The sequence below is a fragment of the Homo sapiens genome, chromosome 2, assembly GCF_000001405.40.
Source record: "Homo sapiens chromosome 2, GRCh38.p14 Primary Assembly".
Taxonomy (NCBI): domain Eukaryota; kingdom Metazoa; phylum Chordata; class Mammalia; order Primates; family Hominidae; genus Homo; species Homo sapiens.
Window position 1 is genome coordinate 64,439,051 of NC_000002.12, and position 25,889 is coordinate 64,464,939.

At 42.5% G+C, this 25,889-nt stretch overlaps 1 protein-coding gene and 2 long non-coding RNA genes across 3 annotated transcripts in view, besides 3 other annotated features; 1 reads left to right on the top strand and 2 right to left on the bottom strand.

Annotated features, from left to right (window-relative positions):
- The window catches only part of LGALSL-DT (LGALSL divergent transcript), a 63,923-nt gene extending 48,095 nt beyond the window's left edge, over positions 1-15,828 (bottom strand). Inside the window, exon 1 of the long non-coding RNA XR_002959392.2 lies at positions 15,475-15,828. This is a non-coding gene — a long non-coding RNA (LGALSL divergent transcript). The remainder of the gene's footprint in view (positions 1-15,474) is intronic.
- LOC124907775 (uncharacterized) lies at positions 188-6,408 on the bottom strand. The gene is made up of 2 exons (XR_007086338.1): positions 6,322-6,408; positions 188-924 (listed from the first exon to the last, which is right to left on the bottom strand). It is a non-coding gene; the product is annotated as an uncharacterized LOC124907775 (long non-coding RNA).
- Positions 14,869-15,288: a silencer, noted in NCBI's record as "silent region_11552". NCBI's record gives its function as "represses an Ori minimal core promoter by ATAC-STARR-seq in GM12878 lymphoblastoid cells {active_cell/tissue: GM12878}" and the evidence as "EXISTENCE:reporter gene assay evidence [ECO:0000049][PMID:35858748]".
- On the top strand, positions 15,112-22,331 carry LGALSL (galectin like). Its single transcript, NM_014181.3, has 5 exons — positions 15,112-15,531; positions 16,294-16,365; positions 16,539-16,627; positions 17,238-17,415; positions 19,235-22,331. Exons 1-5 carry the CDS (start codon positions 15,496-15,498, stop codon positions 19,376-19,378), a joined length of 519 nt encoding a protein of 172 aa, NP_054900.2. The 5' UTR covers positions 15,112-15,495; the 3' UTR covers positions 19,379-22,331.
- Positions 15,299-15,368: a silencer, noted in NCBI's record as "silent region_11553". NCBI's record gives its function as "represses an Ori minimal core promoter by ATAC-STARR-seq in GM12878 lymphoblastoid cells {active_cell/tissue: GM12878}" and the evidence as "EXISTENCE:reporter gene assay evidence [ECO:0000049][PMID:35858748]".
- Positions 15,459-15,758: a silencer, noted in NCBI's record as "silent region_11554". NCBI's record gives its function as "represses an Ori minimal core promoter by ATAC-STARR-seq in GM12878 lymphoblastoid cells {active_cell/tissue: GM12878}" and the evidence as "EXISTENCE:reporter gene assay evidence [ECO:0000049][PMID:35858748]".
- Positions 22,332-25,889: the final 3,558 nt, after the last annotated feature.

Sequence of the window (25,889 nt, forward strand, 5' to 3'; positions counted from 1 at the left end):
AAAAGAGTCCACTGTGAGTTTACTGTGTACTAAATGACTTGAACTTAAGAAGCTGGGCAAGCTTCAGACATAACCTTCTCAAACAAGGCAGACGAAAGAAATGTTAACAGCAAATAAATGGGCCAGTGAAAATGAACACCTCATTCTTTCTGCAAAGGTTCAAGAGAAATAATCATTAAAGACATTGTCACTTTCCAAAGAGCTTTATTGCAATTGCATGCAAGATTTTAGTGAGGCCAGGAGAATTGAGCTGGCATCTTTCTCCCTGCCTGTGACTCAGGCCAGGTAGCTCTTTTCAATAGCACTTGTTAATCTTGTTAAATCTTAAGTACCTCTTGGTTTTATGAGCCATGCTTACTTTCCCTTCTAGCCCTCATTGACCTTGCTGTCTTTGTGTGGCTTGAATGTCATCTCATGAAAGAAGTGCACAGTTAATTCTAGAACAACATCAGGCTGAAGAGTATGTGTGTGGCCTGCATTTCAGGGTAGAAGCAGAGGGTGAAGGTTCATATTGATGCCCATCAAATTCATTTTAGATCTCTCTATGACCGGATATATTTTAGAGGTTGAATTTTAGTGAGCTGGCTATTGTGTTTTTGTCTCTGTTTTTTAGAAAGGGAAAATGAATGTGTACTAAGGTTGGTACAGGTGAGTGGAAATGCATCACACATGGGAGTAGAAAATGAATTTAGTTGGTCCAGCCCCACTGGACAAAAACCTAGCAGTATAAAACTATTAGATGTGTATACCCTATGTTCCAGCAATTTCACCTCTTAGTGGTCAAATGCTTTGATTTTTATAAGAATGTGTCCTGACTCTTTGTTGAGTATAGCATTCTACGAAAGAGCTCACCTTTTGATACTGAATCCAGCTCTTGGAAGAGACAAGTGTTCTGGAAGCAGAGGTGGCTCCCAAATGCAGTGTCTGAGGATTAAATATAAGCATTTCAAAGTCCAGAAATAGACTTTTTTCCTTTTATCTTTTATTGACACGTAATAATTGTAGATATTTATGGAATATAGAGTGACATTTTGATCAGGGAAATGCAAATCAAAACCACAATGAGATATCATCTCACGCCAGTTGGAATGGCTATTATCAAAAAGGCAAAAAAATAACAAATGCTGATGAGGAGGCAGAGAGAAGGGAACTTATACAGTGTCGGTGAGAATGTAAATTAGTGCAACCACTATGGAGAACGGTCTGGAGGTTTCTCAAAAAACTAGCAATAGAACTACCATATGCTCCACCTTTTTTGTTCTCCCTGGAATATGGCTTATTTTCACTGGGTTCCACCAACTGTGCGCAGCTGAGAAGTGACTACAGGAAGGCAGTTCAGAATCACCAAGGGGTCAGTGGGGAATGTGCAGGATTCCAAGACTCCTCTCACTCCACCATTGCTGCCATCCCCACAGCTAGACAATGACCCTCCACACTTATTCCTGCCTCTGCCTTCATAAGGTTTGTCAGGTTTGAGAAAACATTCTTCAATAAAATGCTAGATTTCAGAAATAAGTTATTTACTCCCTCCCCAAACACAAACTGTTTACTCCAGGAAAAGCTGTGTTCCTCTGAAACCATGCTCATTTTCCAGAGGATGGTACTAGAAATATGTTATGCTCCGGATACACTGTCTCTTCACATTCTCTTAATTTGGCTTAGTGTAATAAATGAGCTTGGGTATCTACTCTAAGCAAGATCTGTTGTTGGCCTCATGAGTTCTCTTCTAGTTGGTGTACATTACTTTTTAAACACCTCTGTACTTGCTTTCCTTTGTGAATTATTTACAGTATTGTTATGCTGTGGGCTATAGGGCAAGTTTCTAAAATGGCTTTATGTGTTACGAAAATGGGCAAATGAATAAATCATGTTAAAATATCCACAAGAGAATGGAATAGAATATGTCACAAGGGAAAGAACCTGTTAACATAAGGGTCAATGATGGTGACATAATCAGCTCAGTAACAAGAATAACCTTCATTCAGATCCCAAGTAGAATCCTTTAATCCCCCTGGCTCAGAGGACACATTTGGTCTGTTGGGAAGTTTATATGTCACATTGCTGAATTGTATCCCGGCTGCCTATTTTTGCAGAGTGCTTACTACCAAGATTTTGTTCCAGCCTTTTGGACTATGCTTGATATACAAATAAAAGTAACAAGGGATTAAAACAGAATTCTTCTATTGGGCTCAGAGAGGACTCTTCACCAACTCCGGAAAAAGAATTTGAAGCCAGTTAATCCCACTGGAGCTAAAAGTCTTAAGGATAATAACTTTTATTACATGAACTCTTCTAGACAAAAATAGAATTGTAAGTTAGGGGGAAATGTGTATTCTGCATCATCCAAAATAAAATTTGCCATCCTTGGATTTCTTCCTTGCCTAAGCCCAGTCTTTAGAACAAGAAGTATGATTTCACAATGTAGGAAATTATTTTAAAATATCTTTGAAAGCCCGGGTGCAGTGGCTTACACTTGTAATCCTAGCACTTTGAGAGGCCAAGGCAGGAGGATTGCTTGAGTCCAGGAGTTGAAGACCAGCCTGGGCAACACAGTGAGACCTCATCTCTACAAAAAATAAAGAAAATTTTAAAAGTAACATGCGTGGTGGCCCATGCATGTAGCCCCAGCTACTCAGGAGGCTGAGATGGGAGGATTGCTTGAACCCAGGAGGTCAAGGCTGCATTGAGCCAAAATCAAACTACTGTGCTCCAGCCTGGGAACACAGCAAGACACTGTCTCAAAAATAAATAAATAAATAAATATCTTTAAAAGATTATGTGTAGCTAGGCTGGGCACGGTGGCTTATGCCTGTAATCCCAGCACTTTGGGAGGCTAAGGCGGGTGGATCACCTGAAGTCAGGAGTTCGAGGCCAGCCTGACCAACATGGCGAAACCCGTCTCTACTAAAAATACAAAAAATTAGCCAGGCGTGGTGGCGCGTGCCTGTAATCCCAGCTACTTGGGAGGCTGAGGCAGGAGAATCGCTTGAACCTGGGAGGTGGAGGTTGCAGTAAGCTGAGATCGTGCCACTGCACTCCAGCCTGGGCAACAGAGCAAGACTCTGTCTCAAAAAAAAAAGAGTATGTGTAGCTATAATTCCACAAAGGTGACGGGAAATGTTCTACTGCCTCTAGATTTCCTCTGTCCCCCAACTTCAGTCTGAGTCCACACATTGCCATTCTGAGGAACAGCCATATACCCACACTGAGCCCTCTCCCGCCCTCTTGGTCATGCACAGTGTTGTATTGTCTTACAGACCCTACTGAAGAGCGCCCACAGCCCACACTGCTCATGCCTGCAGAACGCCTTCCTCTCCCTTCTTCACCCTCTTTCTCATGGTGCTTCCTAATTTTCCCTCAGGTCCTTTTCTCTACTAACGCTTCACTTGCCTGGCAGAGCTCAGAGGTGGCCAGCCCCACCCTACATTTTACAACCTTTCTTCCACCTACTCACTCTCTTGTCCTAAACACTAAAGAGGACCTTTCCTCTTCCCAGGTCATCATAAGAACCCCAGCACATACGGTCTGGTCCTGGAATTCAAGCCCAGTCATTGCACCTCAGCCTCTAGTTCTGATTCCTAGATTTTTGCAGGCAGGATTTAATATTTAAGTGCCACAGACAACCCCAAATTATCACCTTTTGATGTCGTTCTTAATACATGCACCAGATCAGGCAAACACACACACACGCACACACCACCTTACAAAGAACTAAATAAAAAACTGAAGCACTGATGTGAGTGCACTTTACAACGTCAAAGTGTAGTGCCAATATTGCTGTCATTATTATTATTAGGCTACCCTTAACCTTCTTTACGAAGTAATAAGACAGCATAGCTGAGTAGTTAACAGCTCTGATTCTAGAGCCACACTGCCTGGGTTAAATCCCAGCTCTGCTATCTGACCTAGTTTGGGAAGTTACCTAATTTCTCTGTACGTCAGTTTTTTCATCTGTAAAATGGGAGTAATAAAAGGACCTACCTCATAGGGTTGTTACAAGGGTCAAATGAATTAACATTTGAGCAGATACAGAGATGCAATCCCCACATTCCACTTCAAGGAAGAACTCACTGCTCAATTGCAGGGACTATGGTCAGCAGACACCCTCCCCCTAGCTCTCAGCAACTCCAGTTTGGCTCAGCTGCAGAAGAGCTGCCTTGCCTCAAGCTGTGCTCTTCCTTGCTGGGGGCGGGGGGCAGGGCACATTCGGTGACTGAGTGAGGTGGGGGCCTGATGCAGGACACTCTGCCAGATTGGCTGAGGTTTTGCTGAGCCTACGTTGCAGTTCGACTTCTTCCTGCTTTCCCTTCAAAGGTGTTAATCCCTAATAAGCATCTCACACCCTGAACTCTGTTTCAACTACTGCTTCCAGAGAACCCAATCTGTGGCGGTATTTGTCAAGTACTTAGAAAAGTACCTAGCACATAGTGAACACTACACAGTGCTTGTTAAATAAAATTAAGTAAGTAATCTGGAAAAGGTAGCACTTCCATTGCTCATCCCTCTTACAGAAGATGTCAGAGTTAATGTTTGGCATTAGGGATATTAGGTTACTCTAAAGAGCCTGAGAGTTGACCTAATCAAGATGAGGAAACAATAATACCACTAATATAGACATTATATTGCTATGTTTGTGCTTTAGGATTTTTTTCACTATTATCTTTTCTGTGCTTGACCTTACAAATTCCATTTTTTATTGCTTACAAGGGTATTTTCTGACATTTTAAATTTAGGTTCAACAATTTTGGCTAATATTTAACATGAACTTACATAAAATCCATATGCTGTCTAGACTTGAGCCTTCTCGATGGTGGGAAGGACACCTAAGGGGAATTGTTCTGAGACCGTGAAACAGGAGGTCAGTAAGTGAATTCCAGCCTTGGGACCCTGGAGTCCTCAACAGCTATGAGGTTACATATCATCTGCAGATCTGTGGCCATGCATTATTCATCAACTCATCTATTCACTCATTCATTCAAACAACAAATCTTCATGCCTAATTCTCACAGTCATGAAAAAGACAAGATTCTGTGCTCAGGGATCTTACCTTCTGGGGTGGAAAGGCCACACCAGGTAATAAACAAGACAACTGGAGATGGAGATAAATACTGTGCAGATGAGGATGCAGTAAAAGGCCCTGGTTAGGGCTGCATTAGGGAAGGCTTCTCCCAGGAGGTGACATCTGAGCTAAGGATTTAAGGATGAAGAACCTGACAAGTGTTTGGGGAAGCACATTCCAGGTAGGGGGAACAGCAAATGCAAAGGCCCTAAAGCATGAGCACGCTTGGCTGCTGGAAGAACACCAGGGAGGCCAGTTTTCACTCAAGAGTGGGGAGCAGGAGAGAGCATGGCCCCCAGGTAAAGTTGGAGAGGCAGGTCCAGCTCCTACAGGGCCTTGAAGGTCATGGAAAAGGAATTCGGGATTTCATTCTAAATACCAAGAGAATCCAACAAGTGATTTTAAGGAGGGTTGACATTACACAATTTATGTTTTTAAAAGACCATGCTGCCTGGGCGCAGTGGCTCATGCCTATAATCCCAGCACTCTGGAAGGCCAAGGCAGGCAGATCACTTGAGGTCAGGAGTTCGAGACCAGCCTGGTCAACATGGTGAAACTCCATCTTTACTAAAAAAATACAAAAATTAACCAGGCGTGGTGGCACATGACTGTAGTCCCAGCCCAATCCCAGAGGCTGAGGCAGAAGAATCGCTTGAGCCAGGGAAATGGAGGTTGCAGTGAGCCAAGATTGTGCACTGCATTCCAGCCTGGGTAACAGAGCAAGACTCCGTCTCAAAAGAAAAAGAAAAAAAGACCACATTGACCAAACACAAGCTCAATATTGCAGAAGGAAACTGAATTACAATTTACTTACTATAAGGTGTAGATACTCTCTGATTCCTGGGTGATGCTCTATTTTAGCATTGTGTAATAATTACTAATGGCTTTGGGGTGAGCCTGTGGCTGTTTTATGATCTTCTATTAGAACATTGAGAATAAACAACATTGTGGACTAAAATCATTGTTAGACCTGATAAAACACACGTCCTGCTCATAATCAGCAATTCTGCCCATCCTCTTTTCTCTGAAGCTTATTCCTTCTCATTTCTATTAATATATCACCTGGCATGGGATAATCTATATAAATCATCTAGTGCCAACCCTTAGTTTTAACTTATCCAGAATAATTGTTAGCTATATCACCTTGGCTTGAAATGAGATGACACTCATTTTTCTGTCCGTCCTCGCTATAGCACCAGTCAGTCAACAATAACTAAAAGAGAAAAGGAGGCACAGTGGCCTCCTGAAAGACAGGAACTTACCTACTCCTGCTTCCAAAGAAGGATCATATAGAAATGGTATGTGTTTATTGGATCTTAATTTTCTCTTTCAGGCTGGGTGAGGATCTACTCAGTAAATCTAGCCTACAAAAGACAGGCTATAGAGGAAGAACCTGCTCAGGAGGATGGAGGAAGCCCAGATCTACTGGAAGGAGTGGGGAGGTGTCTGAAGGGCCAGGAATGACAAGGGCCAACCTGTCCAGGTGAGAAGAGCGGGTTACTATGGAAACAAGCCATTTTGTATTATTAAGTGATAGATGCACTAGGTGGGCAGAACTGGCTGGGATCTGTTGCATGTGGGAAGATTCCACCTTACTGTCAAGGAGAACACCTGTTAGCAGAGAAAGTGAGAAAGCACCACAGGGTAGAAATTTAATATTTGTATCTCTGCCTGAGTCATCTCAAAAAAAGAAAAAAGATATGAGGTTCTTCTCTTCCTCACGATGGAGTTTTCCCTGGCATTACACTGATGGGATCAAAATCAAGCCCAGACAGCTGCTTTGTGTTCTCTCCCCAAGTTACTTTTGTTTATTCCTGGTAATTAAAATGAGGATTGGCTTTTAGGAAAAGCTGAAACCTCAGCAAAAACAAAACAAAACAAAATAAAATAAACAAACAAAAAATACAAATCCCATTAAAAAGTGGGCAAAGGACATGAATAGACATTTCTCAAAAGAAGACATATGAATGGCCAACAGGTATATGAAAAAATGTTCAACATCACTCATCATCAGGAAAATGCAAATCAAAACCACAAGGAGGTATCATCTTACCCCAGTTAGAATAGCTATTACTAAAAAGAAAGAAATGACAAATGCTGGCAAGGTTTTGGAGAAAAGGGAACTCTTATACACTGTTGGTGGGAATGTAAGTTAGTACAGACATTATGGAAAACAGTATGGAGAGTTCTCAAAAAAAAAAAAAAAAAAAACTCTGCAAATAGAACTACCATAAAATCCAGTAATCCCACTTCTAGGTATTTATCCAAAGGAAAGGAAATCAGTATATCAAAGAGATACCTGCACTCCTATGCTTATTGCTGCACTATACACAATAGCAAAGACATGAAGCAACCTAAGTGTCCATCAATGGATGAATGGATAAAGAAAATGTGGTATATAAACACAATGAAATACTACTTGGCCACAAAAAACAGTTGAATCATATCATTTCCAGCAACATAAATGGAACTGGAGATCGTTATGTTAAGTGAAATAAGACAGGCACAGAATGACAAATATCACATATTTTCACTCATATGTGGGAGCTAAAAGAGTTGATTTCATGGAGGTAGAAAGTAGAAGGATTGTTACCAGAGGCTGAGAAGGGTGTGAGGGAGGCAGGGGATGAAGAGGGATTGGTTAACAGGTACGAACATACAGTTAGATAGAAGGAATAAGTTCTAATGTTCAATAGTAGAGTTGGGTGACTATAGTTAGCAATAATGTATTCTATATTTCAAAATAGCGAAAAAAGAGAACTTGAGATGTTCCCAACACACAGAAATGATAAATACTCGAGGTGATGGATACCCTAAAGACCTTGACTTGATCATTACACATTCTATGCCTGTAACAAAATATCACATGAACCCCCATAAAAATGTGCAAATAATACATAACAATTAAAATTAAAATTTAAAAAGCTGAAATTTCCCCTCTCCATTTTACCCCACCTTCACACACACACACACACACACACACACACACACACACGGCAATCTTTTAAAAAGTCGTGCCAGCCCAAAGCCTCCTGAATTTATACAGTTTGAACTAATTATCAGGTTTCAGAGAAGCACTGAACCAACAAAGGCCAATAATGTGAATGAATGAAATGTGCTGAGTTGAATCAATGTAGACTGTCAATGTGAATTTCTTCTTCGGTTTAAAACATTTTCTTCAACTCTTAATCTTTCTCTATGGGATAATCATTTGAACAATTCAGGCCTGAAATCAACATGTACCAGAAAAACTGGATTTAGATGGAAATCATATTACCTAAATGGAGGTGGGATGCAACGAGCCCCTGAATTGAAAGCATTTCATTTTGATTTTCTGGGCTCTGTTGCCATGTTGGCAAGGGAGCTCCTACATCCACTCTGAATATGTCACATGGAAGAGGCATTGTGCAGGGGAGGAATCTATGATATGAGGCTAGCAGAGATATCCTTAGGAAATATGTATCTAAGAGGAGGGCAAGTATTTTAAGTGCAAGTAATGCATGTGGTCGTTTTTGCTCTTTTAAAAAAACTAAAAATTATCATAATGGCAACTAAAACAGAGCATAGCTCAATAAATTGTTCTTGAATAAATAAATGAAGTATGCTTTCTCTCAGTCACCTTGGGCAATCAAATTTGGATGCCAGGTTTAAATTCCCAGGTCTCTTCTGGTTGGTGGTTTGCTCAGAAGCTGTGCTGTTAACCCATACTCTGTGTAGTTCACCTTTGAAAAAATCCAGAAATCTGTGTCATCCAAATATGTTTCCTCCAAAAATCAAATGACCACCTGGCAACATGCCTCCTGGGTTTTCCTCCCCATTAGTCAGGATTTCCAAATGACTGCTAAATCCAAATCTTGGTCTTCTTCCACCCAGCCAAGCCAGGCAAGTTTCCATGAAACTACAAAACTAAGAAGCCCTTTATGCCACTTGACAACAAGAAAATAAAATCACAGAGGCGGTAAAGAGGAGAACTATAAACGAGCAAATGAAAACAGAAATGACAAGCATAATGAGAGAGCATAATTAGGCCTGGAGCACCGCCACACAGGCCTGTCACATTCCTGATGGGTAAAAGATTGGCTGACCACAGACCCGCCTGTTGGAATTGCCAAAGGTGAGGCTGGAGAGAAGGCTCAGAAGCACATGGTTGACTCTTTATACACAAAAAGCTCCACTGGAAAGAGTGTTAAAATATCTCATTCACACTGTCAGTTCCAAATGCTGGAAGCAAGGGTTCTGTTTCCCTGGACAGCGCGCATTCCACTTCTCCATTGGCCAGGCTTTCTGTTCTAGGGAGGACTTCTCAGACACGTAAAGGGTCCACGGTGACATTCCCCGGGGCTTGAAGCAGAGCATACCTTTGAAGCCTTGAGCTCCTCCTGGGAATGCGTTCATTATTCTCTTCTTAAGCTGGAGATTTTCTGAAATCAATCCTTTCTGCACTAAGTAATTAAAACACAAGCAGAAGGCTCATTCTAGTCTCCTCATAAATAAACCAAAAATAAGTGAAATGTTGGAACTGGCATTGACTGCCAAGTTTTATGGCTGTCCCCTAATTACTTTGGTACAACACACATTTGTGTGTGTCTAAAATAATTATTTGATAACCATGACCATAGTTCCTAAAATAATTAAGAACCATAATCACATTGTGAAATATAGAAATACAGCCTGATAAATGTTTGCCCTCCTACCTAAGTAGGTAAACAAAAGGATGCTGAGTTTGTGTATTTTGCTGCCTACATGAATATTGATCATGAGCGGACTGGCCTGAAAAAGCAATTATGCAGAACTGAAAGCTTGAATGGACCTGTAACACTGTGCAGTGTCTTATTCCTCAAAGTGGAATACCACCATCCTTTGAGAGCTGGGGTGAGGAGGGAGTCAAAGCTGCAGGGTAAACAAGATAAACATTTGGGATGCTGTACTATAGGTAAAGGCGTGGGGAGCACATTATGTCCACATCAAAATAAACATGGCAATATTATGGAACAGAATGCACAATGCACACAAATCTCTCAATATTACAAAGACATTTTGATCTGGCAGCTACACCCACAGGGTCCCTCATGGGTCATCCTTCAGTTTAGAGGTTCTTTGTGGAATCATTTGCAAAGTGCTCCTAGGTAATCAGGAAGCAATGACTTGCCAAATAAAAAGGAAGGTGTTTCTGATGTGCATGTATCAAATCTAGATTTGACTGGAAAAAATTTCATATCATATACATAAATATGGATAATAGGAATCTTAAGGAACCTTCTAGATCATTGGTTGTTACAGGGTGAAAACTGGCTTCCCTCTACCCTTGTAGGTTCCTTGGCTGGACTATGAATTAATTTGACATAAGACAGGTTAACAGGAGGAAAACATTTTAATTACATACATACACACGGGAGTCCCACACATTATGAGACTCCAAAGGGTCAGATGGTTGGAGCTCATATAGTATCCTGAGCTACAGAAAGGAATAGGGCTTAGGGCTTCAAGAGGATGGTGGCAACGTAAGTTGTGGGAGGGTGAAAGTACGAACGTATGGTGAATAAAGGTCATCTTGTTATGTAGATAAAGTCACCCAGAAAATAAAAGTTGTCTGGAGCAGCCCTCTTCATGATGCAGATACTGTATTAGATTTCCTTTATAGATATACATTTCTTTTACAAAAGGACAGCTTTTCCAGCTGCAGTTTCTTAGAATAATCAGCTCAAAATATGCCAAAGAAGTATATTTTGGGGTGCCATATTCTAGCCTCCTACAGTTACATTTTGGGGTAGTGTATCCTGAGCCTCAACTGGGGACAATTTGTGCCTTCCCTTCCAAGAGGGGCATTTGTCAATATCTAAAGACATTTTTGGTTGTCACACTAGGAGGGGGAAGTGCTATTTGCATCTAGTGCTCAACGTCTTCTAACACATCAGACAGCCCCCCACAAAAAAGGGTTTCCTAGCCTAAAATGTCACTACTGTGAGGAGAAACCCTGCTTTAGAAAATGTGTATATACACACCGATAGAAAATGAGTGGTCTGTAAGTTCAAGTTGGGCCTTGGGATCATGGCCCATAGGAGGCCTCAGATGGCAGGCATGGTGGAAGGGATGGAGGCACGTGCCTCTCTGGACCAAGGCACAGACGAAAGGCAGCCTCTGGGAGCAGGGGTTCAGTTCAGCTGGTTGCCACACCAGAGAGAAGAGTGGGATTAGAATTCAGGCCACAAACAGAGCTGCAGTGTGGTCTTCGAAGACTTGTTGTTGTAGTTCTGCAGCAGTTGCTGCTATGCATATGCTTAGGGATATGCCACCTCCTTCAGAAAGTGGCCTTAATCCTCCAAATGGGAGTGAATCTCCCCACATCAGTGCTCAGGCTGTGGGTCTGAGGCCTTTATTATCTTACCCACTAATACATCCTGCCATTATGTCCCAGAGTAGACGGTAAGTTTCCTGAGGATGAGACTCATGCATTTTCACCTATCTCCATAGTACCACGGCATGTAGCAATACTGATAAAATAGTTGCTGAATTGTCATCAATATTTATTCTTCCTCCCAATATTAGAAATTCCATGTGCATACATTTGAACAAAACATATAAAATGTTAAGGTAAAAAGGAAGTAATCTACTATTTTCTTCTGGAAAAATCATTTAGCAAAGCCCATCTTCAAAGATTTGTTTGTACTTTTTTTCAAAGCTAATAATCTGTTTGACTGCCTTCCCCACTTCTTTAACGTTTTTAGTAGTTTCCAGTGGTAACATGGTTCATCTTGAAATTTAACTACTGCATTTCATAAATGGGTCCCAATTTGGTTAATGTTTTTACACACAAATACCTATAATCAAAGCATGGAGCAAATTTTGCCTATTCTTTGCTATACAACTCAAAAAAGAATTTTTTAAGCTCTATAATTCATTAGTTTGCTAATGGCTTTTCCCCATAAGAGATAGTTTGACCCTGCTCAACTTTTAGTTACAGCAAAAAAACTCATTCAGGCTTTCTCTCTGCTCTTCATATTCAAAATAAACCATTCTATAGACTGAGAAGGAATCAAGCACTTTTGGAATAAAAGGCAATTTTCCATGATAAAACATTCTGAGCACGTTTAGTACCTTCCTATTCTTTACATTCCTAAAATGTAAGAAACTCATCTCCAGCAATCCAAATATCTTAAACTCCACTTACAAAACAAATCAAAGGGTTATTCTTCGCCCTACAAAAGCACTTATCAAAAGATTCAACCCAAGATTATTTTCATTCAGCAGCACCTACTCTCAAACCCATTTCAATTTAGATAGTATTTACACAGCTTTTCATGAACCAGAGCTTTCTAAGAGCTAAGAGGGAATGATGAATGAGTTCTGCCCCTTAATTCTGCAAGTGAGGAAACTGAGGCTCAGAAGACCATATGAACTCTCCAAGCTGCAGGATAACAGCTGGGACTTATCAAGGGCCCAGGGCTTCTCACATCTTCACCACTTCCACCATGTCAAGGCCACCATCACGTCTTGTTTGGAATGCTATAGGAATCTCCTAGGTCCCATTTTTACCCTCCCTCCTATCATCCACCCTCTCTCCAAAGGCCACTCCATACAGCAGCATGTGGATGAATCTACAATAGAAGGCAAACTATGTCCCTCCTTTGCTCAGAAACTTTTAATATCTTCCTATTTCCCCATGTAAAAGCCAATCCTCAACCACAGTGTAGAAGGGCTATCCATTTCTAGCTACACATCTCCTCAGTCACTGCCCCCAGCCCCAGTACTTGGGGACTTTGCCCTTGCAGTTCCCTGTGCCAGCAAACTCTTCCTCCAGATGTCCACATGACTCACCCCCCTCCTTCAGGGGTCTTCTCAAATGTCACTTTACCAGAGGTGGCTTCCCTGACCATCCTGTATAAATAGCATCACCCTACCTCCTATCTCTCTCTCTACTGGCTTTTTAATTATTTTTATTATTATTGAGACAGGTTCTCACTCTGTCACCCAAGCTGCAGTAGAGTGGTGAGATCACAGCTCACTGCAGCCTTGACCTCCTGGCTTCAAGTGATCCTCCCACCTCAGCCTCCCAAGTAGCTGGGACTACAGGTGCACACCACCACACCCAGCTAATTTTTTTTTTTATTTTTGTAGAGACAGAGTCTCTCTGTGTTGCCCAGGCCTGTCTCAAACTCTTGGCCTCAAGTGATCCTCTTGCCTCAGCCTCCTATATTGCTGGGATTATAGGCATGAGCCACCGCACCTGGCCTTATTACTTTTTCCTAACACTTTTGTCACCCGACATATTTTGTTTATTGATTTCCTTTGCCCACTAGAATGTAAGCTCAGCAAAAAAGTAGCCTGCTGGATCCCCAGTGCCTGGTATACAGCAGGCACTCAGTATTTTGGTATAATAAGTGCTTACTATGTCCCCAATACTGTTTTAAGGAAGGTATTTACTTAATCTTCCCAATAACCTGAGATAGGCATTATTATCATCATTGTCATCTCTGAGTCACAGATGAAGAAACTAAGGCACAGAGAAGTTTAGTAATTTTTCCAAGATCACACAGCTAGTGAATAGTAGAGCCAGGATTTGAACGCGAGACACCGGCTCTTTAACCACCATCACATGTAGTGTCACCCTTATTGTGTCACTCAGTTAATGATAAAGAACTACTGCACTTTAATGCTTCTTCTCTATACCAGACTCTCAGAAATTGATACATACTAAAGTATGCTTTCAAATGTCAATCATTTCCTATAAGTGCCTAACATTTTAAAGTAATAAAGTGTGATTTTGAGCTAAGACTGGTAAACAAAGTGTGCTGCAGCCACAAGCGTACTGCGCTTTAGCCTCTATCTAGTTCAAGAACCACTTCCAGAGGATATGAGTGAGGCTTACAGGCGTGTGCAGGTAATTCTCCCTGCTCAACTGAGATTACCATCATTAGCTCTGGTCCATAAAGGGAAAACTAAGACACAAAAGCCACATTGATGTTCTAGGCCACACAGCCAATTGCAGTGACTAGAAGAAAGAAGCCTCCCCGGGCGGCGAAGGTTGCAGTGAGCTGAGATCGCGCCACTGCACTCCAGCCTGGGCCACAGAGGGAGACTCCGTCTCAATTTAAAAAAAAAAAAAAAAAAAAAAAAAGGAGCCTCTGAGGGGCCCTCTGGGACTGCAGTAGGTCACACATGCTCCCTGCTTATTAGCATAGAACGCCCCGGTGATTCATGCAATGGAATGTTTCAGCCAAGGATGTCACCTAATAGAGGATATGTTGATACAGCTTTATCTGAGAAGTTACATAATCGTCCTAGTGTGGAAATGCCATAAAGGAATTTCTGGCTTGAATAAAAGAGGTGTGTATCCCCTGGGAAGTACTCCACAAAGGGTATGAGGAGATTTTCAGTGAGAAGCTGACTACCCCAGACTGGGCAAGTGACTTGTTAAAAACAGGGCTCAATGGAGGCTCTCTGAGGACAGTGACTGCGCCCACTTTGATTTGGTAAGGCTTTGACTCCTGCTCGAGAGAGTCCAGGGACCCCTAGACCTGCCTGTCCTTCCACAGGGAAGAGCGACCTTTCTGTATCTAGCCTCCTGGGATAGAAAGGTCCCTACCTTGAGTCCTCTCTGCTTCGTTCTTTCAGGTCACACATTTATTTCTGCAAGCCTTCAGACCTTCCATTCTCTTTCTGCCCTAGAGAGCAGAATGAATCCTTCCCCCGATTTTGTTGGAATTCTCTGAAAGAAATCCTGCCAAGTCTCCCACTCTGGAATACCACCCCCAGCACCCAATCTTCCCTCGACCTCGCCTCCCATCGCCCCACCAGCGCCCAGGACGTGGCAGGAGGAAGGAGGCTGGAGGGAGGGGCGCGGGTGGCACGAGCACCTGTCACCTGACCGGCTCGGGCCCTCACTTCTCCAGCCCCGGCCCTGCCCACCCTCTGGCCGGTGAGAGCCGACAGGGCCCCCGCCCTCCCGGACCCGGACAGGCCCGTCCCTCCCGCCCCGGCCTCCGCCACCGTCCAATGGCCGAGGGGCAGGGCCCGCTGAGCAAGCCGCGGCAGCCCCGCCGGGTCCCCGCCCTGTTCCCGGTTCCCGAGCCGGGCCCCGGAGGCCTTTAAATGCTGCCCAGGGCCGACGCGGCACGGCCCTCGCCACTTTTCTTGGTCGGGCAGCGGCAGCGGCAGCGGCAGCAAGCAGCCCCGTCGGCCCGGGTCCGGGGCCGTTCTGGGCCGCGGCAAGCACCTTCGCCCTCCCAGCTCGCGCTGCCTCCCTCCCCTCCCCTCCTCCCAGGCTCTGCCTGCCAGGTCGGCGCCGGGCCCCGGGCGCGCGCGCGCGCGCCCCCTCGTGTGTGCGCGCGCCCGCCGCCAGCTCGGACCCGCGCCCCCGCCCCCGCCCCGCGCAGGACAGCCCCGGGATCCCCGCCCGCGCGCCGCGTCCCACGTACCCCGCCGCGCCGGGCAAGAAGATGGCGGGATCAGTGGCCGACAGCGATGCCGTGGTGGTGAGTGTGGCAGGGCGCGCGCGAGGCGCCCCTCCCCGCCGTCCCGCACTCCGCCGCCGCCTGCTCCAGCAGTGCTGGGGTGCTGAGCAGCCGCAGGCCCGGCCGGCGCCCGGCGCGTGGGAAGGCGCCCGGTACCTGTTAGCAGCCGCTGGCTGCGCGCGGCCGGTGTTAGGGGCTGGAGAGGCTCCCGGGCTGCGGGGCTCTGGGCTGGGGAGGGAGTTTGGGGAGGATGGCGGGTAGGGACGCCCGACAGCCCCCTCTGTGCCGTGCAACCGCCAGCCAGGTGTGCGCGTGGGTGAGTGTGTCCGGGGCGCGCGCCCCGCCACCGCCCCCGACGTACCGGGGATTCCCCCTTGGAAATGGGTCGGCGCCCGGGGCTCCCGAGAGAAGTTGAGCACGGCCGCTGCACTTCAGTCACGTCCCGAAGGACAGGCCTGGCCCACCGCGCTTCCAGAAGCGTTTACGGTTGGAGAGGGGCCTGCCCTCCTCCGGCGTGGGGCTCTGGCTCTTCGGTGGACCTCGACCTTGATTTTGATCTGGATCTGAAGGGTCTGCGGATCTTCAGAGGCTTAACTACCGGGTGGAAAGGATGGGTTTTGTTCGGGGGTGATGAGATTATCTAAGAGACGGTGAAGAGGCATCATCTGCAGACACTGTGTGCATGTGGAAGGCTGCTGGATTCCACCACATCTGTGTGGGTTCTTCCTCCAGCCCCCCAAAAAAGAGCCCATGGAAAGCCAATCTGTGTACTTCTATTTTTAGAAACTAGATGATGGCCATTTAAACAACTCTTTGAGCTCTCCAGTTCAAGCGGACGTGTACTTCCCACGACTGGTAAATGATTTTGCTCTGTGTCTCTGCCTGTACCTTCCTCCTTTCTCATTGCTTTTTAAAATTTTATTCATTTGTTTATTGCATTTTCCAGTGGGTCAGGCCTTCAGGGTCTGAGGTCTTGGCTTTTCCCTAACAGGCTGTAAAATTCATTTTTCTTCTCCCACCCTTTTCAGATAGTTCCATTTTGTGGGCACATTAAAGGTGGCATGAGACCAGGCAAGAAGGTGTTAGTGATGGGCATCGTAGACCTCAACCCAGAGAGGTAAGGCAGAGTCTTTGTCAGGACAGAACTATCAGGCTGTGGCTGAGCCCTGCCCACTTCTGTTGTGGTTTAGCACTCCTCTTCCTCTCCTTGTGGACAGTGTTGCTAGTTGCCAGTGCCAAGAAAGTACCATGTTCCCATGAAACGAATATGTATGAATCCCAGCCATCATTTCTCCAGACAGCTATTTATATCAGAGATTATAAATATAGGCCCACATTTTCTCTTTGACCCTTAGGGAGGCCAGAGGATTTTTTTTTTTTTTTTTAATGGTTTTGAAACATGGTGCCAGGAGCAAGAACTATCAAGATGAATAAGAACCCAACTTAACATTATTTCCCCTGGTCAATTTCTGTGGCTGTTTTTGAGAATTCCGAAGTGGAATTCTCTAATTTTAGTCATTTTCAACACCAAAGTTTTCACCAGAGCTTGCTTTAGGTAACAAAATAAGCTGGTTTGACTTACTTCTCCATAATCTAACCTCTCTTGAAGAGTAGTGGCCTCTTAAAAATGGACAAACCCAGAGGAGGAAGAAGAAATATAAGCACTTGGGTCATTTTGAAATGTTTTTATATCCAACCCTTAATCAGTGGGATGATTTTCTTTTCAGCTTTGCAATCAGCTTGACCTGTGGGGACTCAGAAGACCCTCCTGCCGATGTGGCAATCGAACTCAAAGCTGTGTTCACAGATCGGCAGCTACTCAGAAATTCTTGTATATCTGGGGAGAGGGGTGAAGAACAGTCAGCAATCCCTTACTTTCCATTCATTCCAGACCAGCCATTCAGGGTGAGTACCTCGAGTGCCTCGGCTCCAGCCACTGGCAGGCTGATAATGTTCGACTTACCTAGTGTGTGCCAAGAACACTTGAAGCAGCCAGAATTTCTGCATGTCCAGGAAATTTGTCACCCAATGGTGAAAAAAAAAGATCAAAAGAGCTCTGTTTGCTGATATAAATTAACACTTGCCATAGTATCTTCTTAGTTCTATTCAGGTCATACATTTAAATAGACCCATATTTACATGTCCAAATTGTTAAGAATAAGTAACTTTTCTATGTAGTACCCAACATATAGTAGATACCTACCCCCAAATATCTGATTGATTAATCAATACTAAGTACCCACTTATTAAATATTAATATTAATAAGGTTGAGAGCTAATAAGTAGCTCTTTTATTTGTATGACATTTTAAAGAATATGATGATGATCATTTCATTTTCTCTTGTTCCCTTTGCTAATGAGGCCATGTTCGTGTCCTTGTTTCCCCCTCTGGATTAATTAGCCTCAGTCTATTTCATGGTTACAGGCTGTGTGGCTGACAAATTCCTTCCCTTGGGGCTGGATGAATAAAGATTTGCTCCCCACTATCTTCTGGGCAGGAAGCACAATCCAAACTTTTCATCCAATCAAGCAGCATTAGCAGCCCCTTCCTCTATGAAAGGCAATGCCAAATAAGAGATGCAGGTAGTGGCACAGTGGCTTGTGCCTATAATCCCACCACTTTGGGAGGCTGAGGCAAGAGGATTGCTTGAGCAAAGGAGTTCAAGACCAGCCTAGGAAACACAGCAAAAACCCTGCCTTTAAAAAAAAAAAAATTAGCCTGCCATGGTGTCACACACCTGTAGTCCTAGCTACTTGGGAGGCTGAGACGGGAGGATTGCTTGAGCCCAGGAATTCAAGGCTGCAGTGAGCTATGTGTGCATCACTGCACTCCAGCCTGGGTGACAGAGCAAGGCTCTGTCAAAAAAAAAAAAAATAAAGGGAAATGCAAGTAGTAATGGTGTTAAAAAGGGGTCAGACCTAGTGATGAATTGTCATTACACCTTAACATTACATCACAATAATGACAACTCAGTTAAAAGCTCCATGTTACATGTGAGCCCAATAAAACACAACTACACTTAACTGGTTACCCTTCATCTAGAAATTTTCAAGTGCCTCATGAAGAAGTAATTCTTTCACTTCTCTTCTTACATTCTGGGGAAAATAAGAATCCATGATTTTTGCATTGGTGGTAGAATTGAGATAGTTGCACTTCTAGTTATAGTCTCTGGAAGGCACCCTTGACCCATTATCTCTCCTCATCCCCTTCTCTAGAATGGTGATGTCCCCTTGGGCTCCTCTTGGCTAGGATAGTTTCTTAGTGATGAACCTTAATGCATAGCTCATGAATGTGAGTAACCACAGCTTCTGACTGCCAGGAGGAATATAATGCTCCCAACAGCAAAACTGAAGTGAAATAGGCCCTTCTTGGTGATAAAATTTAGTAATATAAAATAAATGTGACTAGTATCACATATGGAGCCTCCTTACATGGTGAATGCCAATGCTTTTAATAAACCCATCATAGCACACTACCAGTAATTGAACTTTATGGTAAATTACTTGAGGAAAAAGCTTTTACACTTACATTCTACACAGGAATCAGAAATTTTGGAGGTAGAGCCCAACAATCTGTGTTCTAACAAGCCCTCTGCAGGTCTCAATGCATTCTGATGTTTGTGAACCACTGAAGATACTGCCTTTCTTTCTCTAAAATGAAGTATTGTTTGTTTTCCCCAGTAGCGTTCATTGAAATTGTGGATTATTATTTTGTTTCTTCCAGGTGGAAATTCTTTGTGAGCACCCACGTTTCCGAGTGTTTGTGGATGGACACCAACTTTTTGATTTTTACCATCGCATTCAAACGTTATCTGCAATTGACACCATAAAGATAAATGGAGACCTCCAGATCACCAAGCTTGGCTGATTTAAACCACCTCTATTTCAAATAGGATCACGTGCCACAACTATCTGACTGTTGGTCTGGAAGAAGTGTCCTAGCAAGATCTGGAGACTTAAAAAGAAAACAAAAACAAATGGCAAGTTTCACTTAAGGGTGGTTTGCCCTTAAGAAGAAAGCTGTTGGGACAAAGACACCGAGCCATTATACCCAGAATAAAATAATACATTTATGCTGGATTTTATTCAGACCAAACTAAAATGGATTTGTGATGATTTGTGATTTGGTAGCAAATTATTCATCTTTTCAAAGCAAGGCAATGCTTAGAAACAGAAGTGCTAAAGACACTTAAAAAGCCAACAACAACGGTACAGTGAAATCAATGCATTTCTGCACTAAAGTGGAATTGTGTAGCACAACCAATATTTTAGTCAGGGTATTTACATAGAATGTAGGTTGTTCAAGGTTTGACTTTTTTTTTGTTTTTTGTTTTTGTTTTTGTTTTTGTTTTGCACAGCATAATGTTAATTCAGATTGTTGAAGCTTTCTTGTAGTTATTTATTTATACTCAATGTATGTATTAAAGAATGAACAATGTCTCAAGAACAGCAAGTTGTAAACTTTTGAATGTATAAATATCTTAGGTCCAAGGGGAGAAAATTACATATTACAATTATGAAACAGGTGAATTTCTGCTTTAAAGAATTGAGATTCTCCATACCCCTAAACTTAGGATCTCTTGATATAAACTGCTGTAAGTGCTTTTGGGAAACCTTTGCAAAACCATTTTGATAAAACTGCTTTCCAAGTTATTGTTGGTTATGTAAAATTCTATTTACATTGCTTTTTCTCCTTACTGGGAATTAGCACATTATTGGCTTCCTTAAGACTAATTATTTCTCTCTTGATTTATATAATAGCTCATTAAGTTGTTATTAATCAAAAACACAAAGAGGTGATTGCTTAGACAATTTTTAAAGTGACTATAGTATAAACTTTTAAAAGAATAATATGAAAATGACTGTGGAATGCAGTGTAAAGCAGAAGCAAACGGCCCTGAATAACTTACTTGGAAGTAATTTATATCAACTTAAGCTGTTAGCTCATTGTATAACTTTTCTTATGTGACCCTCACCAATATCCCTAAGTAATGCCTTTGGAAGCTTCAGAGTAGAAGATGCTTCCTACTGTGTTGGCTCTGAGGAGATAGTAGGATTAGATAGGATCCAGATTAGGAAATGATCCAGTTAGTTTATCTGAAAGGTTAACTCCCAGGACTCCAGGTCTTTGAATCCAGCCAGTAGAGTGAATGCTTCCAATTAAGCTGTAGGTGTTACCCTGCACTTACGGAACTGATCAAACAGGTGACTCCAACAGGAGGTTGCAGTACTGTAAACGTCACCGCAAGGCAAGGGATGCTTAAAGTCCTGGGTTCTGGACTTTAAAAGCTACATTGGCCCTGGAGGGAGGGACCCTTGGCATTGCTTTGATCAGGTAGTGAGGGAAGACAGGGTTCTGGGGTGGGGGTGTATTTATATATAATTTAGGTTTTGTTTGTACAGCATACTGTGTCTTGTAATGACACATCCTTGTCCTGCTTTCCTTTTTTGAGTTTTTTTTTTTTTTTTACACAACATGCAGAGGCACTGAAGTGACCATGTCATTTTCAAGTGTCAAGAATGTAGACAGTGTTTCAGTACCAAAGTCTAAAATAAACTAAAATTATGAATTTTTTATAGGTGATACATTTGGATTCTTCTCAACTTTGAAACTGTTTAGCACAGTTCCATTGTATTATATAAGAAGACACTGTATCCAACAAGACTGGCTGTACATTGAAAAGCTTTATGTACCAGCCAACTTATTTAACCATATTCAGCCTGTTCCGTGGGGGCTGTTCTGTGGTTCCAGGTATTTTCAAGCCTGTGATTAACTTCTCATGGCTTGTCACTTAAAAGTCCCTAAATTTGAGAGACTTAAAGGGCACCTTGAAATACATTTGTGGAGTTTTGATCCAACTTATGGTGGAAGAGCCCCATAGGAAGACTGTTTTGAGTGGCCAACCATTCCCACCCACTGCATAATTCAGCAGAAACTAGAGGAGCAGGGCGTGTACTGATTGGAATTGACACGCTTATTCTGTCTACCTATCAGCTAACTCATTAGCAGCCAAGCCCTTAGGCAGCTTAGTGTGAAAATACAATGTTAACTGTTTGTTTCTCTGTGAGGTTAGTGGGAACCGCTTGGATAAGCCTATTGGGATTAATCTAAATGATGTGATGATTTGATTCAGGTATAGCCCAAATTAGTAAGGGGCTTTAGCTGTAAACTGAAAACAATATTCACACCCTCTCCTGGGCCTGTAAGGTCTAAGGTGAGAATTTCAGGATGGAAAATGCAATGTAAAGCTTCCACAGGAAAGTATTCGGGTATGTAAGGTGTTATTTCTGACCAGAGCCCTAGTTCTGCAATAACCAAAACCAAGGAGTATAAATAACAATCAGGCTCTGGGGGAATAGAAAGCAGGCTTTAGACAATCTGTCCATTTCTACAGTAAAATTGGAGTGAGTGTGTATATCTACTTAAAACTTAATAGAAGTGACTTCTACTTTTTGGGCTATTCCAGAAGTATTTTAAAATTATTATTTAAAATTTTGAAGCCCCATTTCAAATCTTGCCGACCTTAGTTCAAAGCCCCCTGAGAGATCACTTTTAGAATTGAGGATTTGTTAAAATGGCAAGTCATTTCATTTGTGTTAAAAAGAAAATACCCAAAAGGAAGGAGGGAGCCCTGTTTGCCTTGAGATAAACGGCCTTGGCATTTTCTGGCATTAATGTAGAAATAATGTTCCTATGATGACATATTTTCAAAGAAACACTTTCTTATTTACTGTGTGGTGTAAAATGTTGCTAAATGTGTTGTTACATTATGTCACTGCTGAAAGTAATTTGCACTATAATAAAGGAATTTTCTACAAAACAGTTTCCAGTTTATAACATGCTACATTTGGCGCCAGGTATAGAGTACTTAGCATAGACCACGTGGCATAGCAGTGATTCCTCACTTTCACACTTATGCCTCAAGATAACTTTTTCCTGCATTCCCCACACTGATAAACAGAAGAAAAGTCTCTTGGGGCCCTCAGAGACCTAATAACTTACATTGTGAATGGTAAATGCAGTGGGTTCTTTTAAAATATAATTTGCATACAGCAAATTCACTCTTTTGGTATAAAGTTCTGAGTTTTAACATATACATATAGTCATGTAACTACCATCTTAATCAGAATGCGGGATCATTTCATCATCTCAAAAAATTCCTTTGTGCTACTCCTTTGCAGATAAATTCGTCCCCCGTTCCTAACCCTAATTAGGCGTCCACAGATCCATTCTCCCTCCCCATAGTTTTGCATTTTTCTGAATGTCATAAAAACAATCGTATAACATGTAATCTTTTAGAGCTGGCTTCTCAATTTGCATAATGCATTTGAGAGTCATTCATGTGTATATCAATAGTTTTTATTGCATTCCATTGCATAGATATACTACAGTTAATCCATTCAGATGTTGAAAGATGCAGTGGGTTTTTAATCAGCAAATATAATCTTAGCACAATGTAGATACAAAAACAAGATTGCATTTCTCTTGCCTTCTCTTTCCTGTGGTTTGAATGATTAGGGAAGAAATTTAATGTCTTGGCTATTCAGCCTACAGATAAAACTGTATGGCTTATAGAAGTTTGCCCAGCTTCAATCATTGCTGGGTGACAGATTTACTCACATGCTAGATCTAGGGCCCTATTTATACCTTAATTTTATTGATCCCATTTTTTTTTAGGGTGCAGCATTGGGAGGCTGGTTTGCTGGTTCCTCTGTCACAGCTTTTGCAGTTAAGTACTGGCAGATGAGGCCTGTTAAGGTAGGGACAACTTGCTGAGGCTGTTGGACAAAAGATAGGAGAGCTTCCCTTGCTCGCTAGCCTGGCTGGGAATGCCCCTTAGGGGATGTCACATTTTACTTACGTTATGACAGCATTTTGGATTAGATGGCCTAAAAAATATATCCATAATTGGAGCTTTGAGTGCCACGATTCCTTAAGGCCTTCATTCATTCAACAGGTATTTATTGAGCTGTGTCACTTGGAGTATAAAAGACAAAGGTCTCTGGTGGCTTTAAACTTCAGTGTGATTAACAGGCAGATAGCTCTCCCCTTCCCCGAGTCCCCAGGAGATTTCTGTTTCACCAGGTCTGGAGTAGGGCCCAGAGGTTTGTATTTTCAAAACCACCCTGGGCCAGGTGTGGTGGCTCATGCCTGTAATCCCTGTACTTTGGGAGGCCAAGGCCAGAGGATCATGTGAGACCAGGAATTTGAGACCAGCCTTAGCAACTTAGGGGGACCCCATCTCAATTAAAAAAAAAAGGTGTGGCAACATATGCCTACAGTCCCAGCTACTCAAGAGGCTGATCAGGGAAAATCGATGGAGCTAGGAAAGTTGAGGTGCAGTGGGCCATGATCATGCCACTGCACTCCAGCCTGCAATGACAGAGCAAGACTCTGTCTCAAAAAAAAAAACAAAACAAAACAAAAAAAAAGCAAGAAGCACCCTGGATGGTATAGGTGGTCCTGGGTCTCTTGAATCTTAGATTAAGTAACCTGCCTTTGGGAACTCCTAACTGTTGGGTTGCACAGCCCTCTAGATTCCAATCTATGGATATCATTCTGTGAAAACTGCATTTCAACACAGGCACATCCTTCTGTGCCAAGATCCTGCAACTATCATTACAACATTACAACTATGTGCCATTGTCCCTGACTTAACTTTCTCTTCTCTAGGATTTCTCTATCATTTCATTTGCTCACTTCTGCCTCTACCTCAAAAATAAAACACTGTGTAAAAGAAAGTTTGCCTTTCAAATGAGTCTTGTAAAAATCCTCCTTCTTTGGGTTGGTTTGGGACCTAGGTGACACTCTGACGCCTATTTTAAATAGCGATTTCTCCTAGAAAGGTTAAAGTTCTGGGGGAGGCCTGTCTTCCTTCTTGGTAAGCATTTCAATTAGTTAGTCACTGAAGAATTGTCAAGGTGGAACTCAGTTTTCTCTGATGCAAATCCACGTGGTGGCTTACAGCTTGTAAAGAGGCAAAGGGCAAGTAGCAGTGGCCCAAGTGAGCTTTCATGGCACTGTAGAAATGAATTTAAAGGCTTCCTTTCACGGGAAAATGCAACTGAGTGTGTACATAATGCTGAATGGTTGCCTCGAGCCACTTGCTTCCAAATCACCAGGTTAATTTCAAAATGATTTTTCACTAAAAAAAAAAAAAAAAGTCTTCTGCATAAGGCAGAGACCTGCCTTGCAAAACATAGACTTCATAATTAATTAAAATGGGTGTATCTAAGGTACAGAAACAATACCCAACCTAGAGAGCAGAGGAAGAAATAGCCACTGACTCTCTTGCTTTGATACGCCCTTCCATCTCCCAGGGAAAGATGGTGACTGGTTGAGCAAACACAGGGTGAGGAGGCATCATTGTTTGATAGGACAACACAGACAGTCCCTAAATAATAGGCCCTGGGAAGCTGCAAGCCAACCACAGGCCTTGGGGATGATGTGGGGTTTTGGGGGCCTTCCAAGCTTTCATGAGTCAGAACAATAACAAATGTTTGCTAATAACCCCAACACATCCCTTTCTGTCAGTATTCTATTATTAATTCTAAAAAGACAGATGCAAATTATCAAAGCTTACCTAAACAGCTGGGATGGGAACAGGAGGAATCAAAGTGGTGAGTCTCTGGTGACAACGAGGAGTTGGGAAGGGGGCACCCATGCCTCCTGGATTTGTGATGTGTGCTCAGGTTGGTGCTTTAAACCTCCAGCCTAAACTGACCTCCTGTGGGAAATAAGGACTGCAATGCCACTTGTTATGGTGAGCTTGGAGAGCCAGAGGTGACAGCAGGTCATGCAGGAGTAAGGCATTTCTTACAGCTAATAAAGCCAGAGTTTAAAATAATCATGACACCAATTTCTATAATAATCCTCCACAGTTTTATAAAGAAACAGTGTAAAAACTGCTAATCCTTAAGACTATGCTCTAATTCACCAGAATGTGCCTTACATATAATTTCACTGAATTATCATTTTATTTAAAATCTAGCCAAAATTAGCAGTGTATTAGGCAATATTTAGAATAGCATTTGTAAAATATACTTAGGGATTTTTTTACTCTAAATTATTGCAGCTGTTCCAATATTAGAGAGCACAGATTTCTCCTAATGCAATAACAACGACCTTTAGCCCAGCGTAAAATGGTGTTTAGTATTATAATAAAAAGTGAATAAGGAAGAGATGCCCCAAATGATGAGAAACTGCTGAAAACATTTATTTAAATGAGAATCTTCATGGAGTAGTGTGGTCTGTTACTCTAAGATTCTAATTAACCATGTATCACACATTTTTTAAATCCTCAGATTTAAAAAATCATACACACTATGGAGCACAAGACCACAGTTTTTTATTAGAAGACGTTGGAAATAGATCTGCT

Coding starts and splice junctions, on each gene's coding strand:
- LGALSL (NM_014181.3), top strand. CDS start 15,496: ATGGCGGGATCAGTGGCCGACAGCGATGCCGTGGTG. Junction 15,532..16,293: donor CCGACAGCGATGCCGTGGTG/GTGAGTGTGGCA, acceptor TTCTATTTTTAG/AAACTAGATGATGGCCATTT. Junction 17,416..19,234: donor TTCCAGACCAGCCATTCAGG/GTGAGTACCTCG, acceptor TGTTTCTTCCAG/GTGGAAATTCTTTGTGAGCA.